This window comes from Homo sapiens, chromosome 21 (genome assembly GCF_000001405.40).
Source record: "Homo sapiens chromosome 21, GRCh38.p14 Primary Assembly".
NCBI classification, from domain to species: domain Eukaryota; kingdom Metazoa; phylum Chordata; class Mammalia; order Primates; family Hominidae; genus Homo; species Homo sapiens.
Window position 1 is genome coordinate 18,375,998 of NC_000021.9, and position 22,133 is coordinate 18,398,130.

At 35.3% G+C, this 22,133-nt stretch overlaps 1 protein-coding gene across 8 annotated transcripts in view; it reads right to left on the reverse strand.

Annotated features, from left to right (window-relative positions):
- Positions 1-22,133, reverse strand: part of TMPRSS15 (transmembrane serine protease 15) — a 216,769-nt gene that overhangs the window by 106,882 nt on the left and 87,754 nt on the right. For 4 of the 8 annotated variants that reach the window (NM_001428056.1, XM_047440912.1, XM_011529655.2 and 1 more), the window contains 5 exons: positions 21,882-21,949; positions 18,599-18,688; positions 7,630-7,781; positions 4,543-4,587; positions 3,286-3,321 (listed from right to left, as the gene is read on the reverse strand). In NM_001428056.1, coding sequence (NP_001414985.1) covers positions 3,286-3,321; positions 4,543-4,587; positions 7,630-7,781; positions 18,599-18,688; positions 21,882-21,949 — 391 coding nt within the window. The remainder of the gene's footprint in view (positions 1-3,285; positions 3,322-4,542; positions 4,588-7,629; positions 7,782-18,598; positions 18,689-21,881; positions 21,950-22,133) is intronic. The other 4 variants (NM_001428057.1, XM_047440913.1, NM_002772.3 and 1 more) reach the window with 2 other exon arrangements.

The window sequence follows — 22,133 nt, forward strand, 5'->3', positions numbered from 1 at the left end:
TTTGAAAAGGGATAATAGTACTTGGTGGCCAAAACTGGTTAAGACAAATTAAGCTCAAGATCCTGATAGCTTACTCAATAGGAAAAGCAGAATCTTCATCCATGAATGTTTGCCTTTAGAGGCCAGTGTTATTTCACTATGTTATATTGGAAAATAGATATCACCTTACAGAAATTCTCATTTACTGTGTAGAACAAATCTAGTTTTTTTTTTTTAAATTTTATTGTAAGCAAGACTATGTCTTTTCAATCCAAATGAAATTATTGGTAGAAAGATTCTTTAGTAGTCTTGATACCATGTGAGTAGGAACGTCTTAAATTAGAGGAGAGTGCTTAGCAATATATAAATATTCTTTTCTCAAATGCAGAAAAAGAACGATTCCTAAAGTCACAATACCTTTGGTATCAGGTAAAATCTCTGCATCTCAGTCTTGAAGTAATTAAATCGAGGAAAATAATTCTACCTTGAGTTGTTTTGGCCCAATTTCATGTTTTTCACTAAATCAACCAGTTATTCTTTTCCTCCAATTCTCAAACTCTTTCACATAGTGGAATGGTAGCAAGATTACATTTTTTATGAGATTGAGAAAGCCCATGACAGTGAAACTTTTGTTTTCTGCGGCTATTGCTGTAAGTAACAGTAAAGGACTAGAACAAGCTGTAGTGTAGAAATCCCTCAAACACGGGAGCAATTGCCAAAACACCCCCTCTAGGCACGCTGTAGCACTCCAGAAATTAATCCGTGTAATGTCACCTCAGTTCCAGTCCTTCTCCTCTAGTGTTCTAAGTGGGTTAGTAAAGCTTAAAAGTAATTGGCAACAAAAGCAGCTGAATGATAGAGCATAATCCTCATGGACTTTGTACCGTTATCACAAAAAATTCTCTTTGGCAGAATTTATAACGGCACTAATATCAGGTATATGATGCATGCATCTGTTGATTTTTCTCAAACTCTGTCTTCCAGGCATATAAAAATGAGAATAAACTTAACATCCCTGAAAGGCATATTCATAGTAAATTACTGCTTGGAAAATGCAGTTTTCATGTTTAATTGCCTCGTTCCCTTCTATAAATACATAGTATCTTGCCGTATGAGAGGAATAAACGGCAAGGATGACTGGGCATTTATGTAGTACATGGATTCACTAATAAGAAAAAGAATATGATATTTCACCACCTACTTACCTTATAATAATAGTTTGAGAATTGATTAAGGTAATCCAATACAGTCTCTGATAACGGAGAATGTTTAGAAACAAAGTTTTTTTGGAGAAATAAAAGTTCAGATCAAAATGAGCATTACCCAGTATAATAATCGTGTTTTAAATTTAGGGTTTTTTATGAATCTTTTAAAGAAAGTATCCAAATAGTTGTTTTGTTCAATTCTGTTTCATCAAACTCAGAAGGGGGAAGGAGTAGGGATCTAATATTGGCATTGTTCCTCCTGCTCCTTCTCAGTGGGAGTCACCATGTTGACGATGGTACAGTGGTATCTGTATTATCTCTCTTTCAATTCTCATGATCATCCCCTAAGAAATATATTTTAATCTCCTTTTCAGATAATAAATATAAAGTTCAAATAGGCTAGATAGCTTGCCAAATACATATAGACTGATTGTTGAAATTAGGTAATGCGTGAATTCACCCACGTCTTTTTAGTGATTGAGAATGTATGTTACTTGTTGATCTTTATTTTCACTATCAATTATACATAATGTGAAAGACAGGGCTAAGTGTACACTGCCCCCCATTTCTGTAGTTTACGTGTAGAAGAGAAGATTTCTGCTCCACTCATCAGGAGAGAAAAATATGGGTGGCATACTTTCCCATGCTCTCTGACCCCTCATTCATCATTTCCTTCTTTGTCCAGAGAAAATTGGGCAGATGTTTCAGCCAATTCTTTATACTTTTAACAGGTATGTCTTCAGAATAGTAAAGGAGAAAACCTTCTTTTAAGTCCAGTGCTTTCTGGCTTTATTTGAAACACTGTTTCTACCTAATTCATTGTACATATTACTATTAGGACATTTTATACAACTAAGAGGGCCTTAATGACTTTGAATTAGATTAATCATTTGATGAACCAATAAACAAATAGAAAAATGGCATTAATTTGGATACTTGTTACTGGCTTTCAAGGTTTTAGGAGCACATTTTTCAAAATATATTTAGCTTACTTATTCAGTTTATTTTTAAACCAAAAGAATTAACCATTATCAATCCCAAAAGCATTTGTTCAAAAGTGTGTTGGAAGGGGATTTGAGAGGCTGTAAATAATTTTCCATGTTAGAGACAGGAATGTGGGCTCAGTGGCAGGCTTTCTTTTGTTTTTTGTCAATATGTTGTGGTGCTGTTTGGATATAACCTAAATACAACTGCAGAAAGGCTTATTCTATCATAACAGACCTTTGTGGGTTTTAGAATTGTGATGGCTTGTTTCCTAAAGCATTTTGATTGATTCATGTATTGCTTTGCTTTTCAAATATTACACCAACAATTTTTATGCAAGAATCCTTTATCCTTGCCAAGAATGGCTTTTATAATTTTACAAATGTTTTCCCTCTATGTACATAATATTTGATGTAAATTTTAATAATATAACATGGTAGTGATATTGTTGGGAGCTGACTGAAGATCTACAATATTGCCTTTATTGAATTTACTTAAAGGGATTAGTGACACACCCAGGACATTTTATATGAAGATTAAGTTATGACCAGAGAAGGTATTTTAGCTGATTGACAGAAGCACAGCAGACAATTCCTAGAAATACAGAGAAATTGGCACACCAAAGATACATACTGAGAGTTGGCACAAAGTAGATACTTAAAAAAAATTCCTGAATGAATGAATGAATCCAAGGCTACTTTGGTTCTGCTTTGGCCACAAGTGCTGTGTTAACAGGAGAAAGCAAGCATGTCTAACTTGTATGCAGAGATAATAATCAAAGGAAAAAAAATCCCTAATATCTGATAAAATCTGCTTCCTTAGTTGAAACCTTTTGATACTACTGGTGATATTCTTATCAACAGGTAATCACAGTTCTGTTAATAATAGACAGAGGATAAAAGTGAAATCTGAGAACTCAGGCATTAGCCCTAAATATGTTGTTTACTGTGGTGAAATCCAGGGCTAAAACTGCAGACTTTTATGCTCTTGATTTCTTGTCTATAAAATAGGCACAATATTTATTGCTAAGGCACCAGAGACTTCTCAGGGGCCTAAAATAAAATGTATAAGAGAAAACTTTCTTTCAAAAAATAATAATAATATTATTAAAACTGACCTGGAGTTGCCAGATGACTGGTGGTTGTTAGCTTGTCTGAAAAATAAATTATATTAAAATAATTATTACCTATTTTAAACTAATTACCAGGAATTTATTGTATATTCATTCTGTATAATAATTAACCTAAGAATTTTAAAAGTTATTACGCATTATTAGTGTCCATTTAGAAGTATGTCATTTGTATTTGGATTTAAAAATAAATCTTTTATGTTTTTGATGATTTTTAGAGTTGTAGCACAGAGGTTTTTAGATTTTTAACTCCTCTTTTATTTTCTAACTAAAGAAGACAAGGTTATTCAATGATCAATAACTAAATGCGAGGATTCATTAATCTCATAATGACCATAGACGTAAATGTTCCAGGTTAATTTGATGTTATATGAAAGAGAAGCGTGGGATATGCTTAGACCATGGGCTTTGGAATCAGGAGGAATTGCTTTTGATTTCTGAGTTTGACACTTAGTACCTGTGTGACCCTGGGCATGTTACTTATTATTTAATTTATTCTTTCAAATAGAAAAGTATTACGACCTCTCTACAAAATCATTCTGATAATTGAAATAGGTCATGTTTGTAAAATATAGTACCTGGCTAAAGAGGATGCCTTAAAAAATAAGACTTCAAGTCTTATAAAAATTGTCATGATTACTATACCAAAAGTAATATCTTCATAGTTTCATAATTATGAAGTTTGAAATTGTAGCTTGAAAGATGGGATGAAGAAAATGCTGGAATAGAGTAGTTAACATAAAGTCTGAATTCTCCTTTCCAAAGTGAAATATATTCTGAAAGTGGTCTTTCTTTATCTCACCCTTAGTGACCTCCCAAGTGCCATAGCTTCATCACCAAGGCACCATGATTTGGAGCCGTTTATGGAGATGTCACACACACACACACACACACACACACACACACACACACTCATATATCTCTCATATGTAACACACACACTCATATATCTCTCATATGTAACACACACACACTCATATATCTCTCATATATATTTGTATATAAAGTTTAAAATATGAAAGGAACATTGAAATTGGAAATGTATATCCTTGGCATAAGTGATGAGGCATTAGGAACATTGTAATATTACGAATTATGTTATTCCTAACCAATATAAGCTTCTTACAACTTGATATGAAGACTGAATGCCTCAGAAATAGCTGCAAGAAAAAAATGTATATTTTCCTAGGTGATAGAGTTTGATGATCACTAAGTTGTATTTTTAAAAGTGCCATAAACACTGACCTGAAGTTGTTGCAGGGCTTACTGTAGAAAAATTCTCCAAAGATGCTGGAATAACGTAAAGTTGATTTAACACATGAGTTTATGATATAAATACATTACAAAACATTGAGTACACCTTGAATATTCATTCAAAGGGCATCTGATCCTTTGGAGTTCCTATTTTATCCTCTGCCATGCTAAGCCTTCCTATTCATTATTTGGTTGTAATACATTTGATAAATTTCCAGAGTCTGCATATTCTCTCTATGCAGTTTACTTATGCAAAAAGTTTGCTTTATTTTATATCTATTTAAGAAAGATATCCGTTTATTAATCATAGTTCTATAGAATAATTTACATTTGAGCCAACTAATATAACATGATACGCCACATCTTGGCATACCTAGAACCACTTGTTTTACACTAAAACATATGAAGGTAACAATTGCAAAACAATCTTTCACATAATGAATATTTCCTTGGAACTAAGTGGTATATAAGTAAAAAGTGCTTTGCACATAGAAGACAAAAGCTGGCAATTTTCTTCAAACTTTAACATGTTTGATAGTTTTAAAAGGATAGACTCACCTATGCAAGATATAAAGGAAATCAAAGCATATCTCATGAAAAGTCATGTGGTGAATTTGTTTTTATTCAAGACTATATTGATGATAAGTGGGCTAAGAAGTATATTCGTTTCTACTAACTAGGTGGTTTATTTCAGCATTTCATCATTTTTGAATTGTGTTGGTTCTATAAAACCTATTGAAGTTTTGTAAATGATACATGGTAGAGTGTTGACACTGAAGATAAAATAAAATTTATGTGACTTTTCATAAATAATATGGTTAAATTTTTTATGTTTGACAGTGTATTATACACAACTTCAAGATATCTATGTAATTCTTAACTAAATTTAAAACTATAAATTTGAAAATTCACATGATACAAATGGATATTAAACTGAAATACCTACAATTAACTTGGTACCGTGTTTATAAATGTGTTTTAACACAATTCAACAAGTTAAATGTAACTTCTACTTGTTGAGAATATTCTTGGGCTGATGTTGTAAAACAGTTTATTACATTTGTGATACTAATTCTAAATTAACTCAAAGGATATGGTTTCATTGAATAAACATTTAATTTTAAAAATCACAAACTCTCTTCCCCCAGATGATCCAAATATAGGAAATCGTGAAAAAAAGTTTCAGCATATCTGTCAATTTGCTTGCCAGAACAGACCATCAGAAACCAATGCACATTCAAATAGAGATAGTAAGATGACAACTTTGGGGCCTGTTGGAGGATGGGCGGTGGGAGGAGGCAGAGAATGAGGAGAAATAACTAACAGGTGCTAGGCTTAATAACTGGGTGATAAAATAATCTATACAACAAACTCCCATGACACAAGTTTACCTATATAACAAACCTGTATATGTACCCTGAAAAGTTAAAAAATAAAAAATGAAAATATTCATTTTTCCATGCCAAAAAAGAAAAATGACTATGAAAAAAATCAACTAAAATTGTTCAAAGATAAAAACATTACAAACAAACTAGTATAAAGGTTAAGAGGGCAGACATTAGGATCAGACCACAGAGGTCAGAATGCCTAAGTCTAAATGACTGTGTGAAAAAGGCCATTTACCAAAAGTATCTGTGTTTTGGTCTTCTCCCTGATTGGGGGATAGTAATGACATCACATAAGAGGATTAATGTAGAGAGTAAAAATGTTGATAGATAAACCACCTGTTCTAGCTAATAATAGCCAGTAGTAGTTTTCAGCTCATCTGAATCAAAGATTTAAAATAGACAGTCTCTGCTCAAACAGCTGTGACATGCGTCCAAACCATCAGTAGAGGAAGGACTAAGAATTTATCTTCTTGCTGAACAGCAGCTGCAACATGTTGCAGGAGACTCAATCAAAGAGGAAACTATGCTTGATGAAACAATGCTCTGAAGAGAAGCAACTAGAGATCTACAATCTCATATCTACTATTAGAAAATAAACAAAGAAAACTCCTGGATGTTTTTATGTATTTGATTTAGAGGCAAACATACCGATTGATCTCATTTTGTAGCAAAAATTAGTTGAACTAATTAAATAGTTAGGCTATTTAGAGTTTCTCTTTATTCCCCTCGGTGTAGATATTTATGTATTGGCTAACTTTCTAACATCCAAAAATTTCTGAATTCCAAAATGTATTTGGTCCCAAGGTTTATGGGTAAGGGATTGAATCTGGATGACCTTGGCAAATTACTACTGTTCTCAACAATACTCAATAAGGACACTGTGTTTGTTGAATTGAATTGAATGAAGGATAATTAGAATGGAAAATTTGGAACAATCTAAGCATTTACAATCGTATTTTTTATTATTTTTGATGTTCCATATTTCTTCTTTTTTGGTTTATTCTTATGTTAAAATTATTTATCATTTTAAAAATTAATACTTAATTTTTATAAATAGGTAACTGGAAGGGATCAAACTCATTGACTCTACTTTTTTCTTCTTTTTTTAGCTCCTCAATTAGAAATCGGACCTTGCCACTGGATTTTACAATCTAACAATGTCTAGAGAGAGTTCCTGAAGTCAGGGTGTGCTTGAACGGTGCAAAGAATGCGTAAGACCCACAAACTTCTGTGCATGCCAACACTCTCAGAATCTCCTTGGAATGCATAAGACCCACAAACTTCTGTGCATGCCAACACTCTCAGAATCTCCTTGGAATGCATAAGACCCACAAACTTCTGTGCATGCCAACACTCTCAGAATCTCCTTGGAATGCATAAGACCCACAAACTTCTGTGCATGCCAACACTCTCAGAATCTCCTTGGAATGCATAATACCCACAAACTTCTGTGCATGCCAACACTCTCAGAATCTCCTTGATATTTGGTATTTTATAAACTTTTTCTCATTGATAAGTTTCTTCAAATGCGGTTTCTTCAGATTTCACTTTTCTCATGTAAATGTGTCACCTCAGGCAATAAGACATGTTCCTAAGGTCAAGCATGATTCCACTTCCTCCCTGGTATATTGCTAGAATTTTAATTTCATAGCTTAATGATTCAAAGAAATCAAATAATGTTCACACATACCTAGGATATCAACGCTGTTCAAATCAATATGGAAAGTGACCAGTTGGCTGGATTTATTTGCTTCAAGGCCTTGAATCAGTTCTTCTTTTACATTTTCATCTGACACCCACTGGGCAAAGAAAAGGTCAAATACGACTATAATGCTGCCATTTCTGCAAAGCAAAAGAGGATATAAGAGGAAAAAGTCAGCCATCTTCCACTGATTTGTGTTCAATTCATGTTAAATGTCTTTGAAATTCTCTATAGTTATCATCTTGCTAATTCTCATTATACCTGTGTAAGGTAGTCACTTCAAATCTTATCTTTATTTCATGAGGGAAAGAAAAAGTGAATTGAAAGACTAAATGCTTTTTTGAGAAGAGAAACTCCAAAGTAGATGCAAAATTGAAATCTGAGTTTTCTGAGTTCCACGTTCAAGTACTCATCCCCAGGCCAGGATGTTCCTGAGACCCTTGTGTTAAAATCACGTGGTCTCTTTGCACTTACTCTGATTTTACTGTTTGGAGAAAAGAAGGGTATGGATTTGTAGTTTTTCATGGATAATTTCTAAGTTGGGGGAAATCTAAGGTAGTTTCACTGGTTTCAAAGAAAATTTTTCTACATAGTTTTAAAAGGCCTGATAGCAAGCTTATGGCAACTAATCTATATCTCCCTCTTCTTCTCTATTTTGCTTAATATAAAATATCAAAATATGCCCTGATTTCAAGGGATAGAAAGAAAACAAGGGTATCTGGGTCTATTAGGGATTCACAAGAAATTCAATCTCAGGTCCATGAGTCGGGATTGTCTTGCCTGCATGATCTCCAAACATAGCATTAGAGTTCAGCCATATAGCCCTAATCATCTTCCCCCTTGATTTTATCCCCTGCTCTGTACCATGCATTTTAAAAGGTAACTTTTTTTCAGTGTAAAGAAAGAGAAAAATGAATAAATTTTTGGTGAATAGGGATACTTGGGAGATTTTTGCCCTCCTGCTTACATTTCTATTTGCCATATGCTATCATTTTAGGGTATGACCACTTGGGAGACAAACTATAGCTCTGATATTTATTCTATACCCCTCAATAAACTCTAGGCACTCACGGTATACTTGGCTGCTTAAGACACAGACTAGGGCAAACTAAATTTTGCATGATATGTTTGCTGGTTTTGAATTATGGGAGTTATATATTCTTGTGATATATGTAAGTTTATGAGCTTGTTGAAGGATTTTCTCAAGTCCAGTAGAATTCTTTATTTATCTCTCCATCTATCTATCTTGATAGAACCTACAGTAAATGTTATTTTTTCTTCCATGACTGGATATAGAACTAGAATATTCCTGAAAGATCACAGTAGATCAGCATCTCCACTAGGGGGAGTATATTCCTTCTTCGTGTCCATGGCACTATTCAGTTTCACAGTAATTCATTTCCAGGAAGCTGGTCTTTCATTTTTAAAATGAACAAGATGATATAATATTTTTGATATAATATTTTTATAATTCACATGTATTAAATAAATTATATAAAATGATAGAAGGTTTAACTTTCTAATCATTTGCTTAAATTATAGTAGCCAAATCTTGTAAATGAGAAGGTTCCCTAGTAACTGTTTAGTTCAGGGTTTCCCAAACTTACCCATACATGAAATCACTGTTGTCCTTGGTAATGATACATTTCGTCACAGACACTACCTTTCATCTACTTTTCCACACTTGTGCTGGCTGGCTAACCCCTAATTTTACTGGAGAATAAGCCTCCATTTTTTTTAGGAAAGGTGGCATCTTCTTTAACCATTCTTTATACCAAACATGGTTTTATTCGTGGGTGTATTACCTGGCCTTGGTCAACAGAATCTGAAGGGAAGACTAATGGAAACTTCTGGAAAACTTTTTTATATCTAATAAAAGAACAGCTCACAGTAGATTACCACCCTTCGTTGTTGAACATTATTAGGTCTACATAATTTGCTGAAACTGCCACATCTACCTTGAGACCATGAGTGAGGCCATGGTTGATAAGCCAAAGATAGCGTAGCAGAAGAAGGAAAGTACCCAAAGCCCTGACTATGTCATTGTCATTGTACTACTGAATTAACTTCCTTTAAAACCTCTAGATTTCTTGTGATGTCAGATAATAAACACTTTTTTTTTTTGAGATGGAGTCTCTCTCTGGGGCCAGGCTGGAGTGCAGCGGCACGATCTCCGCTCACTGCAACCTTCGCCTCCCGGGTTCAAGCAATTCTCCTGCCTTAGCCTCCTGAGTAGCTGGGACTACAGGTGCCCGACACCATGCCCACCTAATTTTTTGTATTTTTAATAGAGATGGGGTTTCACCATGTTGGCCAGGATGGTCTCGATCTCCTGACCTCATGATCCTCCTGCCTTGGCCTCCCAAAGTGCTGGGATTACAGGCATGAGCCACCATGCCTGGCCAATAAACACTTATTTTTAAGGCACTTTTAGTCATGCATTCTGTTAATGGGAATTTTGAAAATTCTAACAAGCATACAACTGTCAGCCCCTATTCCATGTTTATATGAACAGAAGGTAATTACTCTATTTTTGAAGCTGAATATTGGCCAATATTTTCATTTTAGCAATGAGGACACTGAGGCTTAGAGTAATGTAGGTAACTTTGCCTAGGGTTATACAGCTTATTAGTGTCAGAGATAGAAAAGAAACCTAGGGAATCTGTTTCCCTAATGTGTTTTTATATAATTCCCATCCCCCCACACTCAACAACACTTTTATCAATTCTATTCTGAACTATTTATCAGCAGGAAAGAGGCTACAGCACATTTACCCTAAAGGCATGTCCAGGTATTTTATTCTGTTGCATAGTTAGCAGAATTTTATATACAAATAGATGAAAAAAACAGCTGGTTGGATATTTTTGGGGAGAAGGGAAAGATATTTATTTCTGCAATACTTCCAAAAGATAGAGCACTGCCTTTTTTCCTCCTCCTCTTCTTCCTTCTTCTTTTCCTCCTACTCCTTTTTCTTTTTTACATTATGTCTTCCTAATCAACCTCACTTTCCAAGATAGTTAAATGGACAGGATTGATTGTGGTTAAAATGAAGTGAGAGTGAACAATATTAATTATTTTCTCTCTCTCCAATCCCCCATCTTCATTTTATCTTTGGTTGCAGACCAGAAAACTTAAATTCTGATTAAATCTGTTTTATTTCTATGTAATTTCACCGGTTCAATTTGACTGAACACTTGCTTTCATTTTATTTGAGTTACGGAGTAAAAGAGGTAAGGTATTTTGGGCAAAGAAAATACAAATCTGGAATTTTGCTTCACTGAGTTGAAAGTAACTGGATTAGTTCATCCTCAGGCATAAAACATTTTTCTTTGAAAGGTGTGTTCTCTTAGTTGTGAATTATGCATTACATTTAATAATTTATACTTTGCAAGGATAGGAGTTGCATATCCTATATCCACATAAAGTTGTAGCCTTTAAAATTTATTTTCTTATTTAGTGGAAATGTTGAGATGAGAGAGATAAAGCAGAAATAAAAAAAGTTGTAATAATCATTTGTGATTCACCTCATAAGAAAGCTGAAGCTGTTTAGTTGTTTAGTAATGAAATGAGAATTCTTCCTTTAGGTTAAAAAAAATGACCATTTTCATTTCAAAGTACTAGTCCTTGTAAAATAACAGTTTTTCTCTAAGGCAGAGAAATCCTACTATGGTACAGAAAGCTTGAGTATAATAGAGCAAAATATTAGTTATCTCATATATTCCTTAATGATATTGGTAACCTTTAGGGCTGCTGAGTAAACAAGTCTTTCCTTTCCTAACTTTGTGGCTTATCTGTGCTCAAAGGGCAAAAGAAACTGCATGTTGCCACAAAGGGTAAATAGTTCTTTATTAAAATAATCAAATGCTAAATGTTCTGGTGAAAGCACTTTCCACAAAGCAGAATGAATGAAAGTATTCCCCAAATAGACCAAACCATTGGCTTACCCTGAAGAGTAGCTACACACACACACACATACACACACACACACACACACACACACACACACACACACGCACACACACCCCAAAATCATACAAGTTAGTAAGTGGCAGAGATTGGCATTAAATATTGTGAAAGTAAGAGAAAATAGTTCAATGACTAAATCTAGTATTGGAGTGCTAGAATTTGATCATATACACATACATGGTGTGAGTTTAATTAAAATCTATAACAAAAATGTAAATAGGTATTTTAAAGGATTTATAGATATACAGTTGACGTAGGTACTGTTAGGTGAGAACTCAGTTATTTCTGTTTCTGATTTTATCAATTGGATTTTTAAATTAAAATAATTTATAAAGTTAATAATGAGTCTTCTACTGTTTCCTATGAGTGGAATACGTATATTTGTAGGTGATTATTTAAGGTAAAGTAATCCTAAGTGTTTCATTGTTACTCTCTCTCCTGCTCCTGATTTCCTTTTTCTATCCTCCTCTTCTAGGTCTCCCAAAAGAGCAACAATGTGATTTATCTAACAGACGTTTTTATGAAATTCCTTTGCATTGCACTTTTCAAAAACTCACTTCTGATTTAATGGCAGCTCAGCTACCACCAGAGGGAAGTATCTCTACACTGATGAAGTACATTATTTGACAGTCATTATAAAATATTTGTCAAGGTCTGGGCACGGTACTGGCCTCCTAGGTAGCTATAAAGGAGGGGAAACAAACAATCCCTAAGCTCAAATAATTTACAGTTTCATATGTGGTGATTTTGTCATCTAGAGAAATAAAAGATTACTTACTAAATATCAGAAAAATTTGGGATTTTGGTAGCCCACCAGGCCTATATATAAAAGTCTATATTCATCAAATTTTCCCAACCTAATGTAAGTGAAGTTATCCAGCATGTTGTAGACATGTAAACATAAAGGGTTCCATTAGCAAAACTATTCTGATAAACTCTGCAATGGACACTGTGCTTTCTGTATGGATTTCACTAGGCAAAGCCCAATTCAAGAGAGGCAGGCACCTAGAATACCTCTCCTTAAAGGAGGTTAAAGCCTTTTGGAAATAAATCTGAATTGATGCTTTACTGCAGCTCTCCAGACTCAATCCTCTACAAAACTAGAAAAGAGAAATTCGTTTCATTCACCACAACGTAGACAAATAGCTTAAAGTGAACCAACAAAAAATAAAACTTTCCCGTGTAATGTTACACTCACAAAATAAAGACTAAGTACGCATTTTTATTAGCATTTTGAAAAAGTTAAAATAATTAACCTTTCCTGCATGTCTGTGTTTCTCCTTTTAGTTCTGATATTGGACCAATGAAAGAGGCTAAGAGATTATACACTCTGGAAACAGAGGGAAGGGACTATGTACTGTAGGTAGGAAGGAAGACAGCAGATGGGTGTAGGGGCAGCTCCTGGGATTAAGATGTCAGAAATATGCAATAGAGTAAAGAATGATATGATAGATAAGGAAATAAAGAAAATAAAGACAAGAGAAAGAAAGAAAGAAGAAAAAAAGAGAAAGAGAAAGAAAGAAAGATGGAAGGAAGGAAAGAAAGACAAGAGAAAGAAAAGAAAAAGAAAGAAAGGAAAGAAGGAAGGAAGGAAAGAAAGAAAAGAAAAAAAGAAAGGAGGGAGGGAGGCAGGGAGGGAAGGAAGAAGTAAATTAAGGAAGGAAGGAAGGAAGGGAGGAAGATTAAACCTTTTTGCATAAAAAGATAAAGCTTTCATTGTGTCTGTATTTGATAAGATTAAAAATTCACCTCTGATTTAATAGTAGCACAGCTACCACCAGGGGAAACCATCTCTACACTGATGAAGTATATTATTTGAGAATCATTATAAAATATTTATCAAGGTTTGAGCACTGTACTGGCCTCCTTGGTAGTTATAAAGAGGGGAAAGAAATAATTCCTAAACTCAAATAATTTACAATTTTAAATATAGTGAATTTGCCACTTAGAGAAATAAAAGATTATTTACTAAATATCAAAGAAAAATTCTGCGATTTTCATAGCCTACCAGGCCTATATATAAAAGTCTATGTTCATCAGGTTTTGTTCCAACAGGAGATGGGAAGGCACTGAGGTTTCTTTTGACCATTAAATAAGCTTCATTTGACCTTCTGCCATTGTTTTTCTAAGCATAATCTCTTTTACCTTTGATTTGACTTTCCTACCTCTTTTTGGTCACTAAAACTAAGGATTCTGTTACTGATGTCAGAACTTTTGTGATGATCCGATACCAATTATTTTGTCCTTAGGATCTTTGATTCAGTTGTTCCTTACCTGAGATGTGAGACTAACCTTTCTATAAAGTCAGGCTCACTGTGTATCTCCAATGTCCTACCAGTCCCCTATGACTTTAATTTGGCACGAGTTCATTGTCACACTCTTAGGTTTATATTTAGCACATTCATGATGTCTCAACATCTTCTTAGTAGCCCTCAATGCCAGCTCTATTATATCCTCAACATGCTACGTTATTTTTTATCTTTATCCGAAATGGCTTTCCTTGTCTTCTCCACTCAAGTAGTCCCTATCTATGCCTTTCAGACACTGTCCCACATTTTTCATAAAACTTTCCATGACCCACCCTTTCAAGTCAAGGGACTCCTTCACACAGTAACATGCCTGTGCTTTTGGAGAACTATTTAAGAATTCTCAAGTTAGTTTATTTCTTGTAACAAAAAGTTAAAGCCATGGTAACTGTATAATTATTTTTATAGCCATAGGATGAAGATTAAATGAAAAGATGCTAATCTCTAACATAATATTAATAGGATGAAGATTAAATGAAAAAATGATAACCTCTAACATAATATTCATTATGTTAATAACAGCTGCTAAATAATTTTTCATTCATTTGCTAAGACTTTATAGAATACATATGCTGTGGTGGGCATTAGTTAGGTTCTGAAAATACAGGTATCAAAGATACATTCTCTGCCCTAAGAGAGCTCCTAGCCTAGTAAGGAGATAGACAAATCAACAATTATGCTATAGTGTGAGAATTGTACTTTAAATGTAGATACATGGTGCTAAATGCACAGGGGGAAGAAGTACCTAAACCAGACTAGAGTGTCAGTTAAGTGTCCCAGGGAAGGCGACATGGACTGGTTCTTAATGGGTTGTGAGGATGGAATATAAGAAAGGATGCAATAATAAGGAGAGAAAATGAGAGTGCCAGTATATTAATCCATTTTTACACTACTATAAAGAAATACCTGAGACTGGGTAATTTATAAAATAAAGAAGTTTAATTGGCTTACAGTTCCACATGGCTGGGGAGGCCTCAGAAACTTACAATCAGGTTGGAAGCCTAAGGGGAAGCAAGGACCTTCTTCACGTGGTGGCAGAAGAGAGAAGAGTGTGAAGGGGGAAGAAGCCCTTATGAAACCATCAGATCTCATAAGAACTCACACACTGTCATGAGAACAGCATGTGGGAAACTGCCTTCATGACCCAATCACCTCACACCAGGTACCTCTCTCAACATGTAGGGATTACAATTGGAGATGAGATTTGTGTGGGGACACAGAGCCAAACCATATCATTCTGCTTCAGGCCCCTCCCAAATCTCATGCCCTCACATTTCAGAACACAATCATGCCTTCCCAACAGTCCCTCAAAGTTTTAACTCATTTCAGCATTAATTCAAAAGTCCAAAGTCCAAAGTCTCATCTGAGACTAGACAAGGCTCTTCTGCCTATGAGTATGTAAAATCAAAAACAAGTTCATTACTTCCAAGATACAAAGGGGTTACAAGCACTGAATAAATGCTACCATTCCAAATGGAAAAAAATTTGGACAAAACAAAGGGGCTACAGGCCCCATGCAACTCCAAAATCCAGCAGGGCAGTCATTAAATCTTAAAGCTCCAAAATAATCTCCTTTGACTCCATGTCTCACATCCACGGCATGCTAATGCAAGGGGTGGGCTCTGACGGTCTTGGGCAGCTCCACCCTAGTGGCTTTGAAGCATACAGCTCCCCTACCCCCACTGGCTGCTTTCACAGCTGGCATTGAGTGTCTGCAGTTTTTCCAGGCACACGGTGTGAGATGTCAGTGGATCTACCATTCTGTGGTCTGGAGGACGGTGGCTGTCTTCTCCAGAGTCAGCCCAGGGGGGACTCTGTGTGGGGGCTCTAGCCACACATTTTCCTTCTGCACTGCTCTAGCAGAAGTTCTCCATGAGAGTTCTGCCCCTGCAGCAGACTTCTGCCTACATATCCAGATGTTTCCATACATCCTCTGAAATCTAGGCAGAGGTTCCCAAACTTTAATTCTTGACTTCTGTGTACCTGCGGGCCCACGTGGAAGTTGCCAAAGTGTAGAGCTTGCACCCTCTTAAGCAATGGCCTGACCTGTACACTGGGCCCTTTTAGCCATGGCTGGAGCTGGAGTGGCTGGGACGCAGGGCACCAAGCCCCAAGGCTGTACACAGCAGTGGGGTCCTGGGCCCCATCCACAAACCATTTTTCCTCCTAGGCCTCCAGGCCTGTGATGGGAGGTCCTGCTATGAAGAACTCTGACATGCCACGGAGACATGTTCACCATTGTCTTGGCGAATAACATTTGACTCCTCATTACTTATGCAAATTTCTGTAGCTGGCTTCAATTTGTCCCCAGGAAATGGGTTTTTCTTTCTGCCACATAGTTAGCCTGCAAATTTTCCAAACTTTTATACTCTGTCACCTGTTGAAAATTTTGCTGTTTAGAAATTTCTCCTGCCAGATACCTTAAATCATCACTCTCAAGTTCAAAATTCCACAGATCTCTAGGGCAGGGGCAAAATGCTGCCAATCTCTTTGTTAAAGGATAGTAAGAATAACCTTTGGTCCCTTTTCCAATAAGTTCCTGATCTCCATCTGAGATCACCTCAACCTGGACTTCATCGTCCATATCACTCTTAGCATTTTGGTCAAATCCATTCAACAAGTCTCTGAGAAGACTCCTTCCCGTCTTCTTCTGAGTTCTCCAAACTACTCCAACCTCTGCCTGTTACCCAGTTCCAATGTCACTTCCACATTTTCGGTTATCTTTATGGCAGTACCCCATTCCTGGTGCCAATTAGTCTTTTTTCACACTGCTATAAAGATACTACTCAAAACTGGGTAATTTATAAAGGAAGGAAGTTTAATTGACTCACAGTTCTGCATGACTGGGGAGGCCTCAGGAAACTTAAAATCATGGCAGAAGGTGAAGAAGCAGCAAGTACTTTCTTCACAAGGTGGCAGGAAAGAGAGAGAGTGGGGGAAACTGCCACTTATAAAACCATCAGATCTCATGAGAACTCATCCACTATCATAAGAACAGCATGGGAGAAACTGCCCCCATTCCAATCACCTCCCACCAGGTCCCTCCCTCAACATGTCGGGATTACAACTTGAGATGAGATTTGAGTGGGGACACAGAGCCATATCACCCAGTAACGAAAACATAGATAAAAGAGAGAAAGCAGGATGGTTTTGAGGGTGTACAGATGATGTGGCAGGACTGAGGCAGAACGCTGTGTCGAGTTGGGGAGGAGAAACAGAAGGCCAGAGTGTGTTTTGGTGACAGAGCCATGCAGTACACCTGCATTTAGTATGATAGCACTAGAAAAAGTCTTTAGGTATTTAAGGAGTGAGATATGAAGATGGAGAGACATTTATTCTCTAAAAAACTAGTAACTACAAGCAGGATCAGTGGATGAAAATCAAAGAAAGAAATAATTTGGTGATAATAATAAAGCATGTTCTAGTACCTAAAGTTATAAATAATAAACAAAATATACTAATAATCATGATTATTTAATAGGCTGTTTGTAGGATGTCCACAGCAATATTGAAAAAAGATTCCTAATTTTTGTTAGTCACATTACATGAGAAAATTAAATTTAAGCAGTATGAATCTCTTTCTTTTGTTGGACTAGAATGAATTTTCTTTAGTCTGTGAGCATTCCAGCTCAAAGCAGTCAAGCAAAGGCTAGACTACACAAGAAAAGAAAAAAATTTTTCTTGCACTATCACACAAACTGTATATACAACCTGACATGTAATGCCTAATAACGTTAGTAAAAATTTCTTGACTCTGTCATATCTCCCCAACAATATTTTAAATTCCTCACAGCAGAGATTTTATACCTTAATCATCACATAAATTACTCATGCCTAATTTATTATTAATGTCTGTTATAAATTAGTCACTTAACCCAAAGGTGCCCTTTGTAAGTAGGCAATTAAAAACCAAATAGCCTATCAAAACAGAGAGAGAGAAAACCAGTTCTAAATATACCAATACAAATTAAAATGTCTTAATGATAGTGGTTGAATGAGCTCTTTAATAAAAGACTTTCTCTTAATATCTGTATTCTCAGAACCTAGTTAAATGTCTGTTTCTAAGTAAGCCCTATATGTGTGTTAAGTACATAAGCGAGCAAATGAATGGATGACTACCTGAACATTTATTTAACTCTATGTTGACAGGATAAAAATATTTGCTTCAGTTTTCCAGTATCTCTTTAATATATGTTTTGCCTATTTTTTGAAGTACTCTTTTTAGTGATTCTACCCTCCCCTTGTGCAAAGCACAGAACAATATTTTATATTTTCATCTTTATCTTTATTCTACTATAGGGGGATTTTAAGTTAGCAATTTATGTTGTATTTCAAAGCATGCTGTATCTCTCATAGAATTTTAGGGATATTAACCCTGAATAAACTGAAGATTATTTTGGGAAGATAAGGAAAATTCTGCTTTCTAAAGATTACAGAAACTACAAGGTAACTTAGTTTCTATCATATCACATTTGAAGAACTGATTTTAAAAGCCTCAGATGAAACAAAAAAAATGTGTCATTTTTCAGGAGGAGGTAAAGAAAAAGTAAATAATGATAATTTTCATTCTAACCAAACAGATGTTTAAATCTTCATGTATGGCATTCTCTCTCTCTCTCTCTGTCTCTCTCTCTCTCTCTCTGTCTCTCTCTCTTTCTCTCACATACACACAAACACACACTTACTTTTGATACTTTTGATGTATCCATGAACCATATAAACTGTACAGAGATACTGTAGACTCTACCTCATTTTCAGCTTGCCTCCAGTTTTTACTAAAACAACAATGAGGTCATTATGAAAAAAAAACACATTCCTACTAAATTATAACAGTATTACAATCTAAATGATAAAAAAGCCCCTTATAGACTTCTGGATAGATCAGTACACCTTTAAATCCAGTGACGGATTCTTATAAAGGCTATTTCTCCACTCGTTTAACTCATTCCACTCTGACTTTCTGAGTATTTTTCTATATGCTAACTCCAGCAACTAGCATTGTCAATTCATAGAAGAGTAACACATGCATAACCATTAAAAAGGAAAAAAATAAGAGAATAAAAAGATTGTAAACTTAGGTACTGTTTACCCTAGTCTGAGTATAGATTATCCCATCAGTTTTCCCATAAAGTTAACGAACACTTTAACCTACACAACTTTAAAAATCAGAGTGGAGAACAAGGAAAACTAAAGGTGGAAGCACAGGGCTTGCGTGGAAAAAGGTCTATGGCCATTTAGCAAATGAACAAAATAAGGCACCCAGAGGGAGAGTAGCCACTGAGAAACATACAGCAAACACTGCTTGGACAATTCCTGAATATGTGACTCTTTAGCCTTAACTTTCATTGCTTCACTCTGTCTTGAGTACTTTTTTAATATAAAAATTAGTAGTAGAGGACAGCATGAATGTTTTAGACAGACAGACTAATGGCAGCTTGACATTGGAAAAGTAACCTAGCCTCTCTGAACCACACATTAATAATTCACGACAGACTGATAATCTAAAACTTCACAAACCCCTAGTGAGGAAAGCATTAGGTGACATACACAAGTACATGGTAGTAATGGTACACAGAAGAACAAATTGACAAGCTTGTGGTGATCTTCTGATTAGTACTGAGTATTTAGTTTGCTAAATGAATTGGTACACCAGGAACACCATCAGTCCATATATACTTGCCATTTTTCTTTTTAAAAACAGGGCTAAAGTATCTTAACCTTTTCAAAAATAATGTAATTTTTAGGGAGCAAAATGTAAAACATCTGAATTTTTTTAGTGTTATTATGATGCCTTATTATTTATCTAATTGAAGACATAAACCTTAAATATCAATGGACAATGTAGACAAGAAAACTGTAATAATTTCTATCAGACTGTCAGCTGCACAAAAGCACAAAAAATATGTAATTTTAAGGCCCTGGAATATAATAAATAATACATGAATAAAAGTAAAATTAATATTCAGGTTTTATAGGTCGCAGTGTCTTGAAAACCCATAGGGAGGCTGTTGTCCTCTGCTATTGAGCTTGTACATTGTGCTTTCATTTCAAATTGTGGGCTTGGAGCTTTCAGCTACCTTCAACTGCAGTGCAGCAGCTGCTTAAAAACTAAGACTTACTTACTCTCACGGTAAAGGAGTATGGAAGATGGCCAGCTGTAACTAAAGAATATTGCCATCAGTCTAGCTTACTTAGATGTTTTTCTCCATGCTCATCTTGGCTTTCATTGTTCTCCTTCCTGTTCCAGATTTACTGTCATCCTTCTTATTTCTGTAGAAAAAGAGAAGTTTCCTTTTCCATTGCATCTTGAGCCCACCCATCTATGGTGAAAAGCAAACCCACCCTCCCTAGAAGTTGTTATATTCTGTGGGCTCTGCTACTCTAACATTCTCATATGAAAGGAGAGCACATGCTGAATCAGAACAACAAAACTCCATTCAAACACATTCCCCAACACCTACTAGCTGTGTGATTTGAGGCAAGTTATTTTTCCAAGCCTCGGTGTCGTAGTTATTTAAGGCGGAATAATTGCATCTCCCTCACAGTCATTTGGTGAGGAGTGAATAAGAAAATACATCTTACAGCTGGGCGCTGTGGCTCATGCCTGTAATCCCAGCACTTTGGGAGGCCGAGGTGGGCGGATCACGAGGTCAGGAGATCGAGACGATCTTGGCTAACATGGTGAAACAGCATCTCTACTAAAAATACAAAAAATTAGCCGGGTATGGTGGCGGGCACCTGTAGTCTCAGCTACTCGGGAGGCTGAGGCAGGAGAATGGCGTGAACCTGGGAGGTGGAGCTTGCAGTGAGCTGAGATCACGCCAGTGCACTCCAGCCTGGGCGACAGAATGAGACTCTGTCTCAAAAAAAAAAAAAAAAAAATCTGTCTGTCTGTCTGTCTATCTATCTATCTATCTATCTATCTATCTATCTATCTATCTTAAGTCACAAAAGGCTTGGCCTGAAATAGAGATTCAACCAGTGAGTTTCCTTTTTGCCAGCTTGTCATAGGATCTCTGTTTTACCTAACCTTCTGGAATATTGTCTTTCTTTCTGTGCTTTTTAAATGTGAATTATTGTGAAGGCTTTGCTCTCTTCCCTTTTTCAGCTACCCCAGGTCTTGATCAGTCTTTAACTTTTTTTTCTTGGAATCCTCTCCCTTTGTCTTTTTCATTTTTAACTTAATTTTATAAATTTACATTTTTCTTTCTTTTATATTACATGTATTTTTAACTTTCCAGTTGACTTGTATCTCTATTCCAAAAGCCCTTTGGTAGTTTGTAGTTTAGAAAACTTTAGGTTCAGAGAGATGTCAGCAAGATTGTCAAACTCTCCTTCATGATACAACAGCAACAACAACACACAGGTCAATTTTTTTTGTGACAAATACAAAAGCTAATTGTTTAGAAAATAGATCTTACAATAGAAATAAGAAAATAGTTCTTACAAAATTTCCATAATTTCCATATGTTACAGATTCAAACATTCATAGTGTGGAATTACATCATTACATTATTAATCTAAGATTCGTTAGTTTATTGAGCACCTACTTTACTTTAAGCAATCTTATGCCCTCTGGGTACACAGTGGACAAGTACCTTCTCTCTAGGTATTTATAGTATAAATGAAGCAGGGTGATACAATATTATTTTATTAAATGACAAGCAAGCTTTTTCCAAATGTTCGTAGCAAGTCAAATACTATATCTGCATCTGTACCCTCTCCATGTGTCTCTGCAAGATTTTATTGTCAGTAGAGAGAAACATATTAACATAAGATCAATTATCAAAAGTTATTATTATTCGCTACTAAAATGAAAGTTTATGCTGTGCCACTTTGCTTAATCCTCAAAAAATGTTGAAAAATTTAAATATTCCTCTTTTCCTATATATAGTGATGCTATTTTACAAATATTAGCAAAAAAATCACTAATTTTCCATCAGTAGAAAATTTTTGAGCTATACTCACTCAAATTGTAAAACTCTTGAGTTCTTATATTCATTCTTCAGATTGCTTGATAGAAAGATCTCATCTATCTAGAAAAATATAAAAGATTGAATGAGTATACTAAATTTAGGATTTTAACTTTTGTTGAAAAATTTATACAAAGCAATCTTTATGTTCTGCTTAGAGTTGGGGCAATTTTCTCCATAGTAATGGGGCTCATACATTTGAGTATCTTGGGCATATTACATTTATTCTCTAGTTGTTTCACAGTGA